This window comes from Homo sapiens, chromosome 18 (assembly GCF_000001405.40).
Source record: "Homo sapiens chromosome 18, GRCh38.p14 Primary Assembly".
Classification (NCBI taxonomy): Eukaryota; Metazoa; Chordata; class Mammalia; order Primates; family Hominidae; genus Homo; species Homo sapiens.
The window spans coordinates 58,179,173-58,201,100 of record NC_000018.10 but is presented as its reverse complement, the minus strand read 5'-3'; the positions used below and the strand labels follow the sequence as shown (position 1 = coordinate 58,201,100).

Genomic DNA, 21,928 nt, shown 5'->3' with positions numbered 1-21,928 from the left:
TTGGCCTCCCAAAGTGCTGGGATTACAGGCGTGAGCCAATGCACCAGCCTAATCTTCTTTATCTAACATTAACATACACACACTGAGCAAGAATACAAGAGAGTCCAGGTTTGCAACAAAGACAACCTTAGTCCACCAAAAGTGAATATCAATATATATAAGATCTAAGATACAAGTAGGTAAGAAGGTGGGGAAGTGGGGCCACACCTGACTCCTACTGCAAAGTAATAGATTCAGCATCTGTACAGACCTCACTGTATTCAAATACATTTTATATTATCTCATTCTGTTTTCACAACAAAATTGCAGGATGACTCCTCTGCCCACCTGTAGCGAAGGTAAGTGACTCGAATTGATTCCAGCTCAAGTTCTTTCATCTGTAAGTCCAGTGCTTTTCATACTGGCCCCTCTGGTAGCCCCACTAACAGGAGTGTGGGGGCAGGAATGGGGTTCACGAACCTAAAGCCAACAATCTCCAGTAGTACTTTAAAAATTCATGCTAATTTTTAACTTTGTTCCATAACATATCCACGTTATCTTAATACGAAAATAGTGTATTTCATGACTTACCGTCAATTAAAATAGGCCTGCATATGTATTTTGTGGCTTTACAGACCCAGAAGCCACAATTACTTATTCTGATTATCAGAGGCATTAAATGGCACCAGCCTCCCTGAGGCAGTGATAGCTGTCACCCAGCAAAAAAATGGGACAAGTCCCATTGTCCAGCTAGCACATTGCTGGTAGCACTTCCAGTTGACAGTATTTCAACTGGCACCTACATTTTCTGTTAATGTAACTTTTTAAACCTGTAAATTCTGTCTAGTCTTTTAAATACATCACCCAGAAATGAGTTAGTGAATGCAATGGAAAATAAATTAAAATCACATAATATGGTTTGAAATGGTTCAAAATTATCTGGGCACATTTTTAAAAGAGCCATTTCATGGCTACCCTGAGCAGAGAGCCGAGATAACAAAGAACATACCTTTGCAGCAGCCTATTTCAAAGAAAAAGAAAACAGTAAGATTGACTACTATATCTGTTAACAAAATGGCAGCAATTTTGTTTGTGCTTTTTTAATAAACTTTTTTGTTTCAGACTTAGAGAATTATTATAAAGATAAGATAGAGTCCCCACGTACCCTGAAGCCAGTTTCCCCTATTATTAAGATCTACATTGGTTCAGGACATGTCTCACAATTAATGCATCAAGGTTGATTTATTATTAACAAAATTCCACACTTTATTTCCATTTCCTCAGTTTTTCCCTAATGTTCTTTTTCCTGTTGCAAGATGCAATTTTCTTTCCATTTAAATTCAACCAGAGGAAAGCTATTAAGCTAATAACAAATTCAGGCCTAAGAGACTAGAATGTTTCTCAAGGCATCCTTAGCTAAAGAAAAATGCAGATGTTGGATGAAATACCAGAGTCAGCTCTTCAACAAACCAACCTTCATCTATATAGCATCAGAATCACCACTTCAGAGAACTTAAATGAACTTAAACTTAAACATGGTCTCAAACTGCTGGGCTCAAGCAATCCTCATGCCCCAGCCTCCTAAAGTGCCGGGATTACAAGCGTGAGCCACCGTGCCTGGTCTTCCACAGCATTTCGTATACGGTCAACCAGTACCGACGCTTTAGGCTGTGTGTCAGGTGCCATCCTGTGCAATGTAGAAAGTGGAGCAGCACCCAGGCCTCTACACACTAGATGCTTGCCAGCTTCACACCCCACTCCCTTGAATATGACAATGAAAAATGTCCCCAGATAGTGTCAAATGTCCCTTGTGGGAGAGAAGGCAAAACTGCCACTGGTTGAGAACCACCGGCTTTAAGCAATTCATCATATGGATAAATATATCAAAATTTCTATCGCAATGTAAGAAGATGTCAACGTGGATTAAACAACTATTTTTATTAGTTGTTTAATTAGATTTAACAATTTTTATTAGACTATATAAATGAGTATTTGTCTTAGAAAATATAATCAATATGAAAACCAAAGAAGGCCGGACGTGGTGGCTCATGCCTGTAATCCCAGCACTTTGGGAGACCGAGGCAGGCGGATCACCTGAGGTCAGGAGTTCGAGACCAGCCTGGCCAACATGGCAAAACCCCGTCTCTACTAAAAATACAAACATTAGCTAGCACCTGTAATCCCAGCTACTTGGGAGGCTGAGGCAGGAGAATTGCTTGAACCTGGGAGGTAGAGGTTGCTGTGAGCGGAGATTGCGCCACTGCACTCCAGACCTGGGTGACAGAGTGAAACTCCATCTCAAACAAACAAACAAAAAAACAAAGAAGCCAAAAAATAGTTGTTCCTGTCAACTATTATGAATTAGTGCTTTGTAAAATAATAAATGTAATGTATAGGTTTAATAACTCCCTAGAAACAAGGAATTCAAATTAGAAATCATTCTTAACCCTTTCCATCCTAGGATTCTAAGGTAAACATCAGATTCTATAACTAGCAGCCAAACCAATAAGCATGAGACAGAACTTGGTCTGGGAAAGAGGCCAAGACAGATAACCCATGACCACTGTGTGTCCCCCAGCTCCCCGACACTCCACCTTAGAGGACCATGGAAACACTGCCCAGGGATCCTTTTGCCACCAGCAATTAAAATAGGCCCCATTCCCTAAAACAAAATTCGGGCCAGGGAGTAGAAAAGATCCAGTTGGGAAGGACATACCTGATAAACGCTTTAGGCTGATGTCCCCAGCTTCTTACATGTCACTCTGCTTAATTTGGGATTGGAGGTAGCAAGGAATAAGCCAATAATCCCCAGTTCTCAAGGGAAATCTGATAGGCTGCAGGACGGTGCCATCCAATTTTTCAAAAAGTGGTTTTAAAAGTTGTTTCTTAAAATAAATTTTAAAAAAGGGCCACCTCTCATTTCTGCAGCTCTGAAAGCTTTTCTTTCATCTTTGTAAAGTTCTCGACATAAACATGTAGAAATACCACCATCACATATCTAGGTCAGAAGAAAGGGCTAACTTTACCTATCCTACAGTTACTAGGCCATCCAGACAGCTCTTTCCTTTATGTAGGGGTGCCAAGGGGTGTCTGAGCAGAAAGGTGAAGAAGGCAGGTTGGTGCCAAAGAGACCCAGGCTATTATCACTTGCAGGTGAGAACCTTTGATCAGCCGCTGCCACCCCCACCCCCACCCACTGGAGAGTGTGTGGGGCAGCGCCTTCCCTCAAGCAGGCTCAGGGGAGAGGCTCACCAGAAAGTCCTCGGATTTTAGGAACCCTCAAGCCCTCCACCCAACAGGCTGCTCTGTGGTTGCTCTCTTCTGCTGAACAGCTTTGGTTCCACCTCATCGGTCTCAGCCCAAATTCCATCCAAGGCAAAGAGAGCACATAAAGAGAAAACTGGCCATGCCCAGTTCCTACAGGTGGGCAGGTGGCTGGCAGGGAAGGGATCACATGGGAGGACCACGGAGCTCGGCCTGTGCATACTAACCCAGCTCAATGTTAATCAAGGCAAAGGATCATTTACATTAAAGATCATTAACCAGGTACTTGGGTCCCTTGGCAAGAGGTGAGAGTTCGCAAGTTGAAAAATGCATCTGGATCAAGGGGCAGCCGCTTGTTGCCAAACACAGGTGTGGGTAGTTTCAGGAGAAGGGCACGTCAATGGCAAGGAAGGAGCAGAAGCAAACGGGGGTGTCTCAGGAGGGGGCCCCGTTTCCTTCTTGTAAAGCTGCTCCCACCCACAGCCACACTCCATTCAGTCAGGTTTATGTGCTGTTCTTCCTTGTCCCTTATGAGGTAGAACCATCACCTTGCGTGCAAAGCAGCTTACAGGTAAGGAATTATAAACAGGTTAAGGTTTATGGCGTTTGTCTTGCCAATTTTCCATCTCTCAACAGAAACATCTCCTTTTAAGGTGACGGCCCAGGCTCTATCATGGCAAGTCCCACCCAAAAAGGAAGGCACTTCCCTCTCTATTCACTAAACCACTTTGCTGTTCCTCCCACATCCAGGGACCCAATGCCACACAATTCTCAAGCACAACGAGAAGTCGCCATCAAGCAAACAGGGTCAGAAGTTCAATTTCACACATTACCGACCGCCACGGTTTTGAAGATTTCTGGCAAATGTTCTTTCTGACATGCTTCAAGTTGCTGCACATGCTCGGTGCCCTCCTCCTCACCATCTCCTCTTCCCCCTCATAAAAATCATCAGGAGCTCCCGTCTCAGCCTTTGTCTAAGGCAGCCTGAGACTTTCTCATTGTTTATACAGAATTATCCAAAAAGAGCAGGCACTGCCCTGGTTTTCTATTCCAGCATTAACCTAATTCAATTTTCCTCAAGTTATATGTTTACCGGAGAGTATTACCTGTGGCTGATGTTAAAAAAAAAAAAAAAAAAAAAAAAAAAGAGAGAGAGAGAACAGAAAAGTAGAGCCCCAATATCCCTGCTAGTAAGATTAGGTCAAAGAAAAAGACAGATTAATTTCTACATCTTTTTTAATGGCACATAACATGGGTAGTCTTTAACTTAGAGTAAAGGAAAACATAAGTGCCAGTTTTATTTTCTCTTAAAGGGAATAACAGTTTGTATGTTTGAGGGCTGAAGAATGCAGTAAAAGACAATGAGTAATGATTATGCACCTCATTTACAATTTTTTAAAGTTCCTAACTGCACGTTTATCCATATAAGAGCAAAATCATTTAATCTGGGTGAATACATGTAAAAACTCAAGTTAGGGGTCATGTGACTCATCCCCAGGTATTTCCTGTAAAGGTTATAAAACAAATGAGAAAGTGTGTGTATCCCAGGAGGTGAATGTAAAACAATAGAGAAGTATGTTGTCCCATCACGAGCTGGCTGATTGCATTAGCTATGCTCTAAATTGAACTTATTTCACAGTGAAGCCTACAAAGAATCAAATTTTAAATAAAAGATCTGTCCTCGCTTCACCTGAGGTTTTGAACTCAGAAATTTGAAAATTTCTGAACTCTGCATGACAGATTCCTTTACAGTGTCTATTTTTGACATTTCAGGAACACAGTGATGACAAATGCAGTAATTTATTCATAAAAGGGGGGAGAGGCACCAGAGCAATATCTGTGTAATTTTTGACTGCACCACCCTGAAGAAAAGAGGTTAGAAACAAGATGATACAGGTTAAATACATAAATAATTAAAATGTTTTCACTGTGCCGCCTTTTGATTTTGAAGCATGCAAAAAATGTCTAATGGACATTTTAAAAAGAAAGCAAGCAAGTTCAAATAATCCCCCTAATCCTGCACATTTGGGTTAAAGCTAATGGATTCACGGTAAGAGAACCTTCTCCTGATGCTGTGGGCACTAATCGAGTAATAAAGGGAACGGAACCTTCGGTGGCACTTACCAGATTCCAGGCAGGAAGAGCTCGTCTGAAGTGGGGAGCGGAGAGAGAGGCAGGTCTAGATGCAGATGGTCTGTTTCCCCTAACAACAGCAACGGCGGCGAGGAGAAATCCTGGTCTCCGCCAGCTCCCGGCCAGGTAACCAACAGCCTGGAGTGGGAGGTGCCGTGCTGGGGAGGCACCGCGTGGACAGGGCTCTGCAGCCGCTCCCGCCCAGGTAGGGCCCTGCGCAGCCACCCACCCGGGCACCCTCGCGCGGCTTAAGCCTGTCTGGGTTGGAAGCTGCTGCCGCGGATGCCTGCCTCTCTCGAATCGGGAGCAAATTCAAATGTGGGGAACACGGAAGTGCCTCATCAGAGGCAGCAGAGCCAATGACTATAGGAGGAACTTCGTGTATTCAAGAGACACAAAAAAGCAATTCAAACCACAGCCCCACAATGCTGCCCTTGCAACAAAACAACACCAGGGAAGTTATGATAACAGCCAACTTGCCATGAGACGTGTGTATACCTGGCTTGGCCCAGGTGACCCTGGAGCCTCAGGGATCCCTCTCAGGTGTATGGAATGCCCCTTTTGGAATATCAGTGGCATCTTTTCCTAAATGTCCATAGCAATGTTAAAAAGAAATACATTCAAGGCAATAAGGAAACTCCTCTAGATACTTCTGTTTAAATTACTGTCCCACTGTCCTCACATACAGGGCATGAGCCTGTATTTTCATCAGCCAAAACTAGCTTTGGATCCCATCTCCACTAGCTTCGTGACATCCAGCAAGCTTCTTGTCCTATGCCACCTTTGGCATTCTTGTTTGTAGAAACAGCCTTGAAACCTCTTTCACGTGCTGCTTTTGGACCACCGGTCCTGCAATCAATGTGCTTTTTTTACATTTTCTTGTCTTTCACAGTTCCCCGTGGCTCTAAAAGTATTATCCGAAATCAACCAGTCACCCCTTTCACCTTCTCTCAGTTTAAAAATGGATCCAGTGCATACCCAATAGCAAAATATTTTCCTCTTTACTCTCATTTTTTTTTTAACTAATGTCTCCAACAGATTAGGGAGGCCAATTTTAAAATCATTTTTGCATACAACGGTCAAACAAACAGATCCCATGACCCCACAGCCCAAACCCTGCCAGGGACAACAAGTTGCAGCCCAAGGCAGAGGGGGTTTCTTCTGTTTAAAGTTCTGTGTAAATTCCCACTTCAAGGCCAAGAACAGGCCCCTTTTAAGAGCCAAGAGTGTTGAGGAAAATAAAGGCTTTATTGAGCCAAAAGGTCTTTTTCTTGAATGCTCCCTTTTAAAAGGCAATTATTTCTTACAATGGGAATTTACAGCTTACTTATATTAGCACTCTTCGATAAGATAAGAACGACCAGGGCATGGGTGACCGGCCCAACACTTATCAAGTGAATGTCCATGGGAGGGGGAGATGCAGAGTCCCACCTGGGCCAAGAGGCCGCATCACCATCTGCTGGTGGCTCCTGCTTTTACAGTCATGAGCCCTACACCATCTCCCATCTCCTCTGTAGCAGGCAGCCCATTAGAATTCCTGCTTTATTACATTAACATTCTCACAGCTTAGTTTGGCTGCTCAAGGACAACCCTTGTTCTTTCCCACCAGATCTTCTTTCCAACCTTCATTCTTTCCCACAGACTCGTAATCAGGCCACTAACGACAGCGGGGAGCGTAAAAGTTCTCTTCCCTACCCACCTCGCGTGATGCGGTGACACAGAATGAAATTCACAACACACATGGAGAAAAGGAAAACAACCAATCCTTCCCCAGAACGGAACAGCTAAGAGCCAACGCTACTGAAAACCATGGGGCAGGCATCTCCACCGAGTGCAGGGAAGAGGCCAGGAGAAGACCCAGGAAATAAATTTAAAAAGGGACAGCCTTTGAGCTGGTCCCTGACCGGTGAGCAAGACTTAGCTGTTCAGGAAAGCTGTGTGGCTGGAGCAGAGAATATACTGGAAATCAGAGAGGTCAAAAACAATGAGCAGGAGATATCGGAAGAAATGTTCCTAACCACTTCACTCTTCCAAAGCCTTCACCCATCTCTGGTGAATATATCTAGGTCCAGCAGGGTCTCAGAAGCAGATGCCAACCTGAGGGGAATATTTACCAGATGACGTGAAGGCCGTGGAAAAAGAAGAAATTGGAAAATTCATTATTTAAGTGGTGTGTGTAAGTTGGATACTCTCTAAAACGATACCAGTAATTTCTAAAAAAGATCAGGGGGAAGAGAATAAATCTGGGTTTTACAGGCAGCTGTGATGAGGGCTGGGTGACCAGCTGTGCCACAGCTGGCAAATGTGTCTACACGTAGTAGTGGCATCTGTTTGCAGTATGACAGGAGAGGGTGCCTCTTTTAGGTACAAAGGAAGATAGGAATTATCACAGAACTTCATACCACATAAAAGGTCCTGTCTCTTACTTCCATTACCCCAGTATATTATTTGCAAGTCTGTGAAATTAAGTATATGATTGGTATTTAGTTTAATTTTATACCAGAATAATTTGATCAAGAGGTAAATTTCAGTACCTTCTGTCTTCCAATCAGATGTACATTCTCATATATAAAGTATTCCAAAGAAATAGCTCCTAAATAAAATGACTCAAATCAAGAAATAGTCTCGCATCTGACCTCATCCACACCCTATACACTGGTCTTACTCTCCTCTTAGCCACTTCACTGTAAAAACCTTTGCAACTGCCACAGGTGCATGCCCCAAACCATACATGCTGTTGTGCTGTGTTGGAACATGATCACATCAAACTAGGATATCAATTGTTTAAAATGATCAGAAGTGAAGAAAGCAGGCAGAAAGACAAGTCTATACATTAAAGGATCCTTTTCTTTCTTTCTTTCTTTTTTTCACATCTGGAAATCTATGGCCTATGTTCAAGTGCCAGGCTCAGCTCAAATTAGCAAGTGATGATAAATTCCTGGAGGCCTAGAACTCCGTGTTCTTCATCTCCCAGTACAGTGCCTTTCGACATAAATAGATGGTTGCTGAACTCCCCTCAAAGAGACAGGTACCTGTGGGCTGCATCACCACCAGCGAACCCAGCAGACAGCACAGATGCCTGCATTCAGCTAGGTAGGAAACTAACCATGTAAGCAGTGAAAAGCATGTCAAGACAGCTAGGAAAAACCATTAAAGTGAGTGGTAAACTGTTGAAAGGCTAACGTGAATCACTAAACTAGAGAAGCTAGGAGTCAGGAGACCTGAGAACTAACCCTGATGATGCCCTTAAATACCTTCTTTGCTTAAGACAATTTAATATCTTAACCTTTGAGAAAATAGGAAGCCTATCACAAGACAGGCAAAAGGAACTTCCCTGCCACTGTCTCCCCTTGTTACCAAATTAACGATGGCACCTTACACACAGTCAATAGTGCCTCAGAACCAAGAAATCATTTCTGATCTTGAACAATGCATTTAATGTCTGTATGTTAAGATGACAGCTCCTTGTCACACAGTTTAATGGTCCAGGCTCACATATTTAGGAAACCAGGATTGAAAAGCCAACTCAAATGCTATCATCATTAAGTTTTTTTAAATTATTATTATTTTCTGTAGCTCAGGCTGGAGTGCAATGGTGCAATCTCAGCTCACTGCAACCTCCAACTCTTGTATTCAAGCTATTCTCCCACCTCAGCCTCCCGAGCAGCTGGGACTACAGGTGCATGCCACCACACCAGGCTAATTTTTGTATTTTTTGTAGAGATGGAGTTTCACCGTGTTACCCAGACTGGTCTCAAACTCCTGAACTCAAGTAATCCAGCTGCCTCAGCCTCCCAAAGTGTTGGGATTACAAGTGTGACATTAAGCAAGTTTTTATCAAGCTTGTACCATGTACCTTGTCAGCAATGGGGTTTCCCAGATTGAATCCCAATCCCAGCATTGGAGTTTCCCAGATTGCTTCCCCTTGAAGCACTGGGGTTTCCCAGATCAGGGCTCGCCTCTCACTGCCCACCAGGTATAACTTTTCTGAAATCACCAATTATATGCCTGTTATCTGTGCATGCAATTTAGAACTTTGGCTACACACTGAGGGTGGCAGGAGTATATATGCTGGTTATACACCAAGTTCTAGCTTAACGTGATTGTTTTGTAAGAAGACTATCTCACCAATAAAATTTTAAGTTGTACATACCAAGGCCAATGTTTTTCTTAGCAATTTACCTATTATAGCAGAGCTAACCTTCAGATCACCTCAGTCCAGGGAACTTACCTGCAAAACCCAAATAAATAGAAACAAACCTCTGGATTCTGAAATAGGGGCCATCAAAAGCCAGGCCCTTGATCTCAGAGCTTCATTAACCGACTGTAACACAATTCTGAACAAGCTTCATTACTGAGCTTCCCATTACAGAGATTAGGCTTCTAATCAGCAATAAAGCATGTCAAATAGCATTACTGTCTCTCCTATAGGAACCAGACACACCAAACACACCAGAAAATGTGGTGACAGGGGGGTTATTCATTGATACAAATGGCAATTAAAAATCTCAGCCCTTATAATTATCAACAGTCCACTTAAAAATCAGTTTGTTGTAAGTTCTTTTTATCACTAGTTTTTGTTTTTTCTTTCTTAAAATATTATACTTTTAGAGACAGAGTCTCACTCTGCCACCCAGGCTGAATGAAGGGCAGTGGTGTATTCATGACTCACTGCAGCCTTGACCTCCTGGGCTCAAGCAATCCTCCCACCTCAGCTTCCTGAGTAGCTGGGGCTACAGGCACACACCACCACGTCTGGCTAACCTTTTAAAAATCTGTAGGTATGGGGTCTCACTACGTCACTCGCTATGTTCAGGATGGTCTCGAACCCCTGGCCTCCTAAAGTGCTGGGATTTTAGGTGTAAGCCACCATACCCAGCCTTTTTATCACTGTTACATCTTCTATTTGATGGCAGAAAAAGACAGATTTAAATAATGGAGGTAAAAGGTAAGCTAAGAAGTATAAATCATAGGTTCTCACTCAAAGAGGTAACTTTAATATCTAAATCTAAAATAAACCCTTCCAGTAGTAAATGCAATACAGATTCTTCACAAGAAAAGTGTATGTACATCTCCTGTATACAGACACACTTACACATATACATACTTAGTTAGAAGAAAAGAAAATAAACACTCATGAGCCTGCTTCTCTGAGGTAATGCTACTAATACATTAGGGCATTAATACCCTTCAGACCTTCATCTATATTTCTGTATTATGTGTTTCCTAAGATGAGATCAAATTATACAAACCAATCTACAATTTACTTTTCATTCTATGTTATAAAATGTTTCCATAACATTAAATACTTATCTGTAACATCATTTCTAATGGCTTTATACTATTCCATTATAAAGATATACCATTATTAAGCTAATTTAGGGTGCTTCAACTTTTTCATTATAAGCAATGCTTCATCTTAATAACTAATTCTTTAGGTATATGACACACACACACTCTCTTTGGATAGATAAGGATAAAATATAACTTCATACTTCCTTAGGAGAGTTTCTTTGCATGAAGTGTGTTTGCTAGATAACAGGCATGCACACTCTTCCTTCTATGTATTTGATACTTTGAACAATATGTTAATTGAAGAAAATTTAGAAATTCAGAAAAAGCAAATATAACTTATACTCCTACCACCCTAACATAATGTTAATAGTTTGCATACCCTCTCCAGTCTTTTCTAATTATATCTTTTTTCCCTAAAAACGATTTGGAATACTTGGTTTGGTTTGACTGGAGTTTTGATTCTTTTTTAGAGAATTCCACATAAGAGATTCCATTTACCTACTTCAATAACATGGATCGTAAAACTCTTATTCAATAAAGATATGAAATAGAAGATACTTGACTTCTGCTGGATGACCCAATGTGGAAAGAGGAAGGGATGAAGTAAGGAGAGAAAGGTGGGGATGGAGGAAAAGGAGAAGGGATCGAGGTGTGCCCACCGCTGTGGGTCACGGGCTTCACTATGAGCTATCACTACCTCTGAAGTCACTCAGTGACCATTAGTTACAACAGACGAGTTCATGTGAAGAAAAAAGCCAAAACCACTGGCCAGAGAGGAAATCACCCTGGGCTGACCAGGATGTGTGCAAGGCCCCACTTCAACACACCTGAATTCTGATTTACACGTTCGTTATTGGAATTGAGGGCTGCTAACTCCTTAAGCTGGCTGCCAGCAGATGCACTTGTTCTGAACTTGGACAGCCCCCTAGAGAGCCCAAAACTCACAACAGTCTAGCTGTACAGGTTAAATACGCCCAAGGAAAATCGAGGGTTTTAAAACATAGCCATTTATACTCTAGGCTCATTGTTTGTAAGTTATTTTCTTCCTCCAGGTGTATTATTTCAACTCCTGGGGTGTAAAGGTCACTGCCTGTGGTTTGGGTTTTGGAAGAGACGTACCCCAGAGCACACCAGGGCTATGGAGTTCAAGTGGGGAATGCACCAGCTGGGGCTGAACTTTTAAAGACAAAAGATCCTGTTGCTGCCTTTCAAACAGCAGGCTTAGCAGACAGAGAGAAAGGCAGCGACAACCTGACGTGGGCTTTATAAAGTCTAAAAATAGGTACTTGCAGCAGAATGGTTTCTTTAGAGAACAATTTTAAAGATTCCCAGGAGGTGTCAGCTGTTCACCAGATATTGGATGAGGATAAAGGCTTTTGGAGCTGTCAGGGGATCACAAAGCCCACGGTGAGGGCCCCCGAGACAGGTGAAGAAAAGGTCTTGGTTCAAAATCCTGCTCATGACAAAGTGGCCCGGGAGAGAAGATCTCTGATTCAGGACAGCAGCACTCAACAGGAGCTAAGAATCCACTCCTGGCTTCTACCTTGCCACACAGACTAACTGGAAGACTATTAGGCCATGCAATCATTTTCTCTAGAAAGACAATGAATTAACCCACTTTCAAGACTAACAACTACAGATTACTTGTGAAGAGACAGTCTTCTCCATAATGCAGGCATTAATATGCATCTGCTTAGCTTCCATTATTCAAAAACAATGTTGGAGGCAGGTAGGTTAGTGCAAAGCCCTGGCCACCAATGTGCTGTTATATGGAAAGTCAAGGGCAGAAGCTGTGGGACCAGAGCAACACAGGGCTTGAGAGTGTACTGGGGCCAGATTCAAATTGGACGTGCCCCACGGCACACTGGAATACAGGCCAGGACAGAATTAGGAGCCCCAAGGCTAGTCCTGCCTCCCCATGTCACTTCAGGTCCTTGAGGGAACAAGCAGCCTCCCAGACTCTGTTTCCCAGTCTGCAGAGGTGGACCCACTCGGTGGTTCCTGACCCTGGCCACCCACATCTCACTCCAGGCCAAGGAAGTCACTTGCTTTGGACTGAGTCTTGGCAACAATATGTTTTTGGAGCTCCCAGGTGACGCTAATGCTGGGACAGGCTTGAGCACCACTGGTGCTAGGGTCCCTTTGAGCCCTATGTTCTGTATGCACATTTTCACTCATCTCCGTTTTCTCCCAGTAGGCCAGTGAAGAGGTGTCTGATGAAAGGAGAAATGAGGTGCTGGAGGACCGTCCTGTGGGGTGGCCTGGGCATCAGGCACAGGTCCTGGTCTCAGCTGGACTATCGCTGAACAGAGGCGTTGGCCGCACATCCCCTTGGAAGGACTCTTTGCTTCCACATTCGGAACACTGTCCTGCTTTTGTTCAAACTCCTTTCTTTTAGCCCTCAAAATACATCTCACATCCCTACCATGAAGTTTTCCCTGGATCAAATGGAGGCAAAGTAGCGAAAAATGCAAACAAGAGATAACAGAGACTCAAGCACATTCCCAGCTCTTTAGAAAGTTAGAACTGAAGCTTCCTGAGCTAGCAGCACATTCATATTCTCTCTCCCTTGAACTCAGACCAAAGAGAAATGAAATGCACATGGGGGTGGGGGGCGGTGGTGAGGATTTTCTGATGTTTAATGTGATTTCCATATTTGCTTTCAGAATACAAGTTCCGTCTGCTTCTTTTTTTATGAGAAAAGGAAATCGTGCATTTAATCGTCTTTGAATATTACTAATTTTATATTTCAAGTATCTGGTAATTTGATTTTCATAATTAATCTTAACACGTATTCAGAACACAAAAAAACTCAATACCATGTGAAGAGAAGGGAAACAAAAAAAGTCCTATTTTCATCTACTACAGAAAATATTAAGTCAAAGGTTTATATGTAGTGAAGCATACTGGATTTAAATCCTAATCATGTATTTTTTAGATTTAAATTTTTTCTTTATTGCTCTTCTGATTTATAAGAACCTAAGAAAAGGGTTTCCCTTCTTACTCCTTCTTCCCCGGTCCCTGCCCTCTGCTGATTTTCCTTCCAAAGGCTGCCCTTCTTACCCATCCCCTGCCCTCCAGTACCCCACCTGCCTGGTTCAGTGATTCAGTGAGCAATAAGTGCAGAAAGCCAATGCCCAGAAGATTAACACAAACTTGTCAGGTTGTCACAAAGTTTTTCTGGGTTCTCCAGGCCCCTCTAGAGCCAGCTCATTTGAAGCAGACAACTGCTGGCCAACAAAGACTGGAAGCCACGGAGACAAAGGAAACCCATTTTTCTGAAGACCCTCCGTGGGGTCTTGAAAAGCCTGTGCACTAGGCTTCATGCTCGGCCCTTCCTACTGAGTGGCCTTCTCCACTGCCTGCTGCTTAAAGGCTTTCCAAGCACCTATTAATTTCAAAGATCACTTTCCTGCGTGAAGACATGCCTGAGAGCATGAACAAGAGTTCTCAGACTGAAAGCAGAAAACCAAGATTCTTAATTAAATGATCAAGTGAGAACCCGATCATTTACTGGTGGTGTAGACCAGTGGCTCCCAGCTCTGGCTTTCATTCCAATCACCTGAGGAGCTGGAAATGCCAGGGCTGCAGACCAGCTGAATCAGAAGGCCTGGAGGCAGGGCCTCAGCATACCAGGTGACTGGCGTGCAGTGAGCATGAGAAGAGAGTCTATGCAAGCATACCGGAATGCAGCTCCAACTCCGGCACTTAAGTCTGCTGTGACTTCAGCAAGATGCCTAACCTTTCTCATCCTCCATTTTTCTCATCTGGAAAATGCCAATAATAATCCTTACCTCCTAAGAGTGATTGATGACTATGATTTAATTATGCCATATAAAGCTACAGTGTCTCAAAATACAGTAGGTCTCAGCCTCTGCTGCCTCATGTATAAAATGCCAATCAGAATAGAGAGAATGATCTGCTGGGAGTGTGAAAAGGAAATGAAGACAGAAGGGAGTGTGACTCACACATTATAAAAAAAATATGAATTCACGATGGGCTAGAGGCCAATTTACAGAACATCCCATTCTCCTGCTCACATCAGGGGTAACTCAACACAGCCCAATAAAATACAGGCCGTAAGCTCTGCAGGAGCCACCATCTCTCTCTGCAAATGCCAGCCTAGGGCTGACATCCAATGGAGAAAATCAGGCTGAGAATAAAACCTGCAGAGGGCAGAGGGAGTGGGGGAGAGAAGGAGAAGGGATGCTGATATCTCAACACAGGTTCAAACTGTTGTTTAATGGACGCTTTTCTGTTGTTTCTAATCTGCGACTCCGTCAACTAGGGAATGTATGTTCTTGTGCATCCTTCTCTGTTCCCGTGTGCATACGTATCCTTCTCTGTGTGCGTGTGCATATGTATCCTTCTCTGTGCGCGTGTGCATACGTATCCTTCTCTGTATGCGTGTGCATATGTATCTGTTGCATCCTTCTCTGTACGTGTGCATATGTATCTGCTGCATGAACTGGCAGAACTGGGAGTGCTGGGTCTAAGAGTACAGGCATTCATCATTTTATTTTACTTTTTAATTTTAATTTTAATTTTTTTTTTTTGAGACAGAGTTTTGCTCTTTTTGCCCAGCCTGGAGTGCAATGGCGCGATCTTGGCTCACTGCAACCTCTGCCTCCTGGGTTCAAGCGGTTCTCCTGCCTCAGCCTCCCGAGTAGCTGGGATTACAGGCATGCACCACCACACCCGGCTAATTTTGTATTTTTAGTAGAGATGGGGTTTCACTATGTTGGCCAGGCTGGTCTCGAACTCCTGACCTCAGGTGATCCACCCGCCTAGGCCTCCCAAAGTGTTGGGATTACAGGCGTGAGCCACAGCACCCAACCAGGCATTTGTCATTTTTATACATATTTCCAAATAGCTAGAGGTTGTACCCACTTAATTGCCCTCCAATGATAGTTTAAGGGTAGCTGTGATAGAAACTGGTAGTATGTTCCTGCTTGTCTGTTTTTACACTTTATATAATATACATATATTTTAGGACATATTCATCAGTGTGGTCATTCATAGCTTCTCCAGTTTGGGGTTGATGAAATGAAACTGCTTTAAGCCTCTTTTTTAAAGACGTGTGGACACCGGGAGTTTTAAAGTGTTTCATACGGAACAGGTACCATTCCCTTTGAAATCTGTTTCTACTAATGGTGCTAATTCCAAGCTCCCTACCAAAAGCTTACAGGGAAGTGAGCTACAGTCTGGGGTAATCCAGCTCCCACGGTCCGATCACAATTAAGACCTCCCTGTCATTCCTGTGGCACTAAATGCTAACCAGGAACCTGTGCCCACTGTTCAGCTGCACATTTGCACCATACTGCTGCTACAAGTACAGTGCCTTGAGAGCAAGGACCATGACTAACGCCGTGCACGCCTGGTGCTGATGAAACTGTAAACAAATGGCCTAATTCACCCTCCCTCGCAGGGTTAGGTCCTGTTTGGGAAAAAGGGTGAGCAGCACTTAGGAGAACACTTTCTTTTCTTTTCTTTTTTTTTTTTGAGATGGAGTCTCGCTCTGTCGCCCAGGCTGGAGTGCAGTGGTGCCATCTCGGCTCCCTGCAAGCTCCACCTCCTGCGTTCACGCCATTCTCCTGCTTCAGCCTCCCAAGTAGCTGGGACTACAGGCGCCCGCCGCCATGCCCAGCTAATTTTTTGTATTTTTAGTAGAGACGGGGTTTCACCGTGTTAGCCAGGATGGTCTCGATCTCCTGACCACGTGATCCGCCTACCTCAGCCTCCCAAAGTGCTGGGATTACAAGCGTGAGCCACCACGCCCAGACAGGAGAACACTTTCTTAAACCCAAAAACCAAGACTTCATGAACAAACATTTCTGGACTACACTGTGTTAATCCTTTACAGAAACTTTATGAACTGATCGGTTTCTCTGGAAAACTTCTCCAAGCCACCACTCCAGGGATGGCTTAGGAGGTAGGATAATAATCCCTACCTCCTAAGATGACGGATGCTAGTGCCCGGCATGATTGACTCCAGGTGCCCAGCAAGGCCTCTCGGTAATCTCAGCAGCACCTCCAGTGAGGCTCATCAAAACCATCTCTGCTCCATTTCAAAACCACACCAAGCAGGCTGCTGGTGGAAACCAAGAGCAGGAGAGGAGGGTAGAGAATCCCATGACTTCAGAACGTTTCTCCTACAAGACGTGACCCCACAACATGGCAATTCCTAAAAGAATGGTGACACTAAAGCCAGACACCCCTACCAGGACACCCTCATTCCCTCCTACCAACAGATTACATCCTTAAGGCCACAAAACACAAGCCCACTTCCTTTAAGTAATGGGGCGCGATCTCGGGTCACTGCAACCTCCACCTCCCAGGTTCTCGCCATTCTCCTGCCTCAGCCTCCTGAGTAGCTGGGACTACAGGCACCCGCCACCACGCCTGGCTAATTTTCTCTATTTTTAGTAGAGACGGGGTTTCACCATGTTAGCCAGGATGGCCTTGATCTCCTGACCTCATGATCCGCCCGCCTTGGCCTCCCAAAGTGCTGGGATTACAGGCGTGAGCCACCATGCCTGGCCTTAGAAGTCTTAACAGCGGAAGTTAAAATAAACAAAATAGGCTGTAAATAGGAAAGAGGGTAGAAGTTAAACAAAAATAATTCAAAATTAATCATGTTTCCACCTGCAATGTTCAGGATAACAAAAAGTCTTTTTTGCAAACTTACGGTGAACCAAGTAAAAACTTGGGTAACTGAAATCCGATGAAGCGATCTGAAATGACACCCACAAGTGCACGAAAAAGCTATTTACAGGCCCATGCGTGCAGCATGGAGCTTCGAAGTGAATACTCAATCAACTCGGTAAGATGCAACATGAAAAGCTATCTCCAAGGAGGGGGGTGCTGCAGGTGAGCAGCTGGCTCAGAGCCCAGGTGAAGAGTGTTTGTTCTACCTAGCCAGAGGGCAGGTTGAAAGAGGACATGGCCTATTAATGTGCAGCTCAAGAAACACTTTAAGAACCGGCACAAATGCCACTCTCTGGGCAAATGTTTGTAGCAAGGACAGCTGGCAGGGTACAGGTAACCGTCTACTCCTGTGTTGTGCCAAACCCGTATTAACTTCAACAGGGACAGCACCAAGTTGAAGAAGCCAAAGAAGAGACCCAGAGCTAACAAACAAGGCACAGGGTTTATTTGGAGGAACTTATTTATAGGGTGGCCCAGTGGCTCTGGGCTGGACAGCAGAACTTCAACTGCTTGTAAAAAGCATGCAGCTTATACAGCACCTTCACTTAGCACCCTCCTCCCAGCAACCTCCATGTGGCAACCCTCATTTCTTCAGTGACTGCTGTCCGGTGTGTCTGCCATAAGGGCCATTCTCAGGGTGTGCTGAAGTTACTGCTGTCAGACACTTCTCCCATACAACCTGAAGCATTATTCTTATGGGAAGATGTGGTCCCAGTGACAACCCAGGTTACCAGGAAGAAGCCTCCTCAGGCCAGGTCTCCTATGACAGGGGACCCAGCAGTGAGGGAGGAGAGGGAGTATCTTTCAAGGTACCTTCCTCTGCAGTTGGCCAAACACTTAAAATAAAGGAATGCAGAATTTAAGCTCTGAGCAGTCAGGACCTCCCTGCATAGTGCATAGAACACTACAGGGGCAGAAATATCTGAGAAACCAAGGCACAGGCCAGGCGCAGTGGCTCACGCCTGTAATCCCAGCACTTTGGGAGGCCAAGGTGGGTAGATCACTTGAGGACAGGAGTTTGAGACCACTCTGGGCAACATGGTGAAACTCCATCTCTACTAAAAATACAAAAATTAGCTGGGTGTGGTGGCAGGTGCCTGTAGTCCCAGCTACCTGGGAGGCTGAGGTTGCAGTGAACTGAGGTTGCGCCTCTGCACTCCAGCCTGGGAGACAGAGGAAGATTCCATCTCAAAAAAAAAAAAAAAAAAAAAAGGTATCAATGCTCAGGTCACCACAGAGAGCTGCAGGAACTGTCCTAACAGCCCAGAGAATAAATCTTAATGTCTGCAACTGCAAAGAAAATAAACTTTATTTTAACATCATCTCAACTGACACTTTTTTCTCCCTAAATGCCTCCCTCATTTTCTGTCCCACTGAAGACATGCATGGTTTTTGTTGGTATTTGTAACATTAAGAGATGTTAAAGGAAAGGAAGGACTTTATTACAAAATGAGCAGATGCATTCACCCCCCGCCCCGCATTTTCCTCTGTGGGTGTTTTCAGCACCCCCTACTCTGTTTTCAGTTCTTTGCTATGCATATCCACTTAGGCAATCTGCCCAGGTTTCTTGCACCAAGACTTAATGGACTCTTTCCCCTGCCCCTGGTAGAATTTTTATCAAAAACAAAACTCAAGCATCCAGAGAGAAAATCACCCAACCTTGCATTTTAAAAAATTTAAATTAAAAATTGTTGCTGCCATGGTTGAGGGTCACAATCATCAGTCTGAAAAACAATGTCATCTACAAAGTTAGCTATAGGGAAGGGATAACAATACAAAAAAAAAATGTGTTAAAGACCTCTCTAGCCTCTTCTGAGTCTCTTTCACATCACAGATTGTTCCATTAACTTTTTGAAATACTAAAAACTCCTACAATCTCAGAACCCTATGAAAGGGGAAATTTCTTTTTATTCCAAAGCCAAATACAAATACTTTTGAGATGAACCTTAGCTGTTACCATAAACAGCATGGATATAGGCAACTATTTATATAACAATATTTTTCTATATGAGGAATTCCTTTCTTAGGCCACGACAGGAGGATCGCTTGAGGCCTTCAGGAGTTCAAGACCAGCCTGGGCAATATAGCGAGATCCCTGTATCTACAGAAAAATTGAAAAAAAAAATTAGCTGGGCATGGTTGCATGCACCATGGTCTAGCTATTTGGGAGTCTAACGTGGGAAGGTTGCCTGAGCCCAAGAGTTCAAGGCTGTAGTGAGCTACAGCCGCACCACTGCACTCCAGTCTTGGTGACACAGAGAGGCTCTGCTAATTAATTAATCCGTAGATAGACAAATTCCTTTCTTAAAGAAACCTGGAAGAGTGTTGAAGCTCTGATTCATAAACATTTAAAACTAAAAATGAATCCTAAACATTTTATCTCTGGGACCATATGAAATGAATACAGTACTCTTCATTTGAAGAATTTAATTTTTTCCCACTATTGGTTAATTATTCCTTTTTAGTGACTGGCATTTTATTTGGATAATTCTACAAGTTTAAGAAATTCTCTAACAGAAAAGAAAGAAATAAAGGGGAAATAAAGTTTAAGACTATGTATTATCTACTTTAAAACTAGCTATGTAAAAAGTAGAAATTACTTAAATAAAATCATTCTCTCCTCTGCATAAGTGTCACTATTCGAGAATGGCTTAAATACCTGCTGAAACACACAAAATGTGAATTAACGATGTCCTCTGAAAAAGAACTCCAATCGACTATTCGATTTGTGTTATCATTTTATTTGGCTAGAACAAAAATGCACCTGACAATATGGCCACCAGAGGGTGCTGTAACCCCCCCAATACACCTCGATAGACCAGAGAAGGAATAGACAGTTAAGAGGTCTTCAGGTGACAGAGGCTGTACACCTGCCTTCTAATGAACTTACATGGGCAGAGCCCCTCTGCAGGAGGCTTTCCTTAAACATAAAGGCATCAGTGCTAACTTTAATGTAGGGAGGACAGAAAAGCAATGTGATGGGCACTCACAGAGGACTTTTATATTATTAAAATTCAGAACCTGCATGTTTTAAAGAATGTCCTAAACCTACAGAATAAAATAAATGAGAAAATTAATGAAATGCAAGGGTAATGAAAATATGGACCTGAATAAGTCACCTGGAGAACAAGCACGAAAGGAGGAGAGATTCAGCCAAGGGGTGGGGAGGCAGAGCCAAGGAGGGGCAGAAGAACGGGCGCTGGAGTCGGCCAAGCACAGAAAGGGGGTAGGGAGCTGTCCTCAGCTCAACGCCCCTGGGCCGATGTGGGACTAGAGCAGGATGTGCAGGACTCGGTGCTGGCCCTTGCGGCGCTGAAGGCCTATCAGGGAGAATCTTAGCGCCATGTGCTAAGTGCCACCACAGAGACCTGCACAGGGCCAGGCACAGAGCCAAGGACTGTGCACCCGGGTCACACAGACAGATCAGCAGCACTGGCCTGAGAAAGGAGAGAGCAAGGCACTTGTGCAAAGAGGGAGAAGGGGGTGGTTCTGGGCACCGGCAAGGCACAGAGGAGGAAGAGCGCACCGCGGCTCGGAGAGGGATGCGTTGCAGGGCGTCACAAAGACCTCTGTGCCCCCGTTCACCCAGGGCAATGCACAGTCACCGAAGTGTTTGCCCAGGCAGGAACATGGTCTGTCTGTGTCTTAGAGATAGAATTCTATACCTAGGTGGAGGAATAGAGAGAATAGGGCAGATATGGACGCTGCTTGAGGAGTCCTCTACACCAACGGTCCCCAACTTTTTTGGCACCAGGGACTGGTTTTGTGGAAGACAATTTTTCTCCAGGCTGGTTTGGGGGTTGGAGGAGTGGGGTGGATGGTTTGGAGATGATTCAAGGGCATTACATTTATGGTGCACTTTATTTCTATTATTATTACATTGTAATAGATGATGAAATAATTATACAACTCTTCATAATATAGAATCAGTAGGAGCCCCGAGCTTGTTTTCCTGCAACTAGATGGTCCCATCTAGGGGTGATGGGGGACAGTGACGGATCATCAGGCGTTAGATTCTCATAAGGAGTGTGCAACCTAGATCCCTCACATGCAAAGTTCCACAATAGGGTTCATGGTCCTATGAGAATCTAATGCTGGTGGCTGATCCGAGAGGCAGCGGAGCTCAGGCAGCAATGCGAATGATGGGGAGCAGCTGTAAATAGAGGAAGTTTTGCCCGCCTACCCATGGCTCACCTCCTGCTGTGCGGCCCACTTCCTAACACGCCACAGGAGTTGGAGACCCCTGCTCTACACAAACACTGAAAGCCAGACACAGCAGCCGGAAGGATGAGAGAGTAAAGGACGACTCTTTGGTCCCTAGCTTGGATGACTGTACAGATGGCGAGGCCATCACGGAGACAGATGATTCCAGAGAAAGAACAGTTTCTGATATTTTGACATTCCAGGCCAAGAAACTATGTAAGGACAAACAAAAGATCCTGAATTATACGGCCCCACTAGTGGGTGAAGTCTCACTTCAAGAACATGATGGCTTGACTACATATGCAATAATAAGAGAAGATGAAATCACACTCCAGAGAGCCAGTAC

General features: G+C 44.0%; 1 protein-coding gene and 1 long non-coding RNA gene across 43 annotated transcripts in view, besides 2 other annotated features; one reads left to right on the top strand and one right to left on the bottom strand.

Annotated features, from left to right (window-relative positions):
• The window catches only part of NEDD4L (NEDD4 like E3 ubiquitin protein ligase), a 357,315-nt gene that overhangs the window by 200,440 nt on the left and 134,947 nt on the right, over nucleotides 1–21,928 (bottom strand). For 4 of the 41 annotated variants that reach the window (XM_006722430.5, XM_017025679.3, XM_017025681.3 and 1 more), the window contains exon 1: nucleotides 5,368–5,696. The exons of 35 other annotated variants lie outside the window; for them this stretch is intronic. The gene's annotated coding sequence lies outside the window, so the exon portion shown is untranslated. Of the gene's footprint in view, nucleotides 1–3,231; nucleotides 4,363–5,367; nucleotides 5,697–21,928 lie in introns of those variants that run through there. 2 more of the 41 variants (XM_047437415.1, XM_047437416.1) reach the window with 1 other exon arrangement.
• Nucleotides 5,046–5,567: an enhancer, noted in NCBI's record as "H3K4me1 hESC enhancer chr18:55862766-55863287 (GRCh37/hg19 assembly coordinates)". NCBI's record gives its function as "activates a minimal SCP1, AML or CMV promoter by ChIP-STARR-seq in primed H9 embryonic stem cells {active_cell/tissue: H9 hESC(primed)}" and the evidence as "EXISTENCE:reporter gene assay evidence [ECO:0000049][PMID:30033119]".
• On the top strand, nucleotides 5,391–11,267 carry LOC105372143 (uncharacterized). 2 transcript variants are annotated; one of them, NR_188085.1, is made up of 3 exons: nucleotides 5,391–5,502; nucleotides 7,018–7,282; nucleotides 11,142–11,267. It is a non-coding gene; the product is annotated as an uncharacterized LOC105372143 (long non-coding RNA). The 2 variants fall into 2 exon arrangements; NR_188086.1 differs by having other exon boundaries at nucleotides 5,391–5,581.
• Nucleotides 5,568–6,090: an enhancer, noted in NCBI's record as "H3K4me1 hESC enhancer chr18:55862243-55862765 (GRCh37/hg19 assembly coordinates)". NCBI's record gives its function as "activates a minimal SCP1, AML or CMV promoter by ChIP-STARR-seq in primed H9 embryonic stem cells {active_cell/tissue: H9 hESC(primed)}" and the evidence as "EXISTENCE:reporter gene assay evidence [ECO:0000049][PMID:30033119]".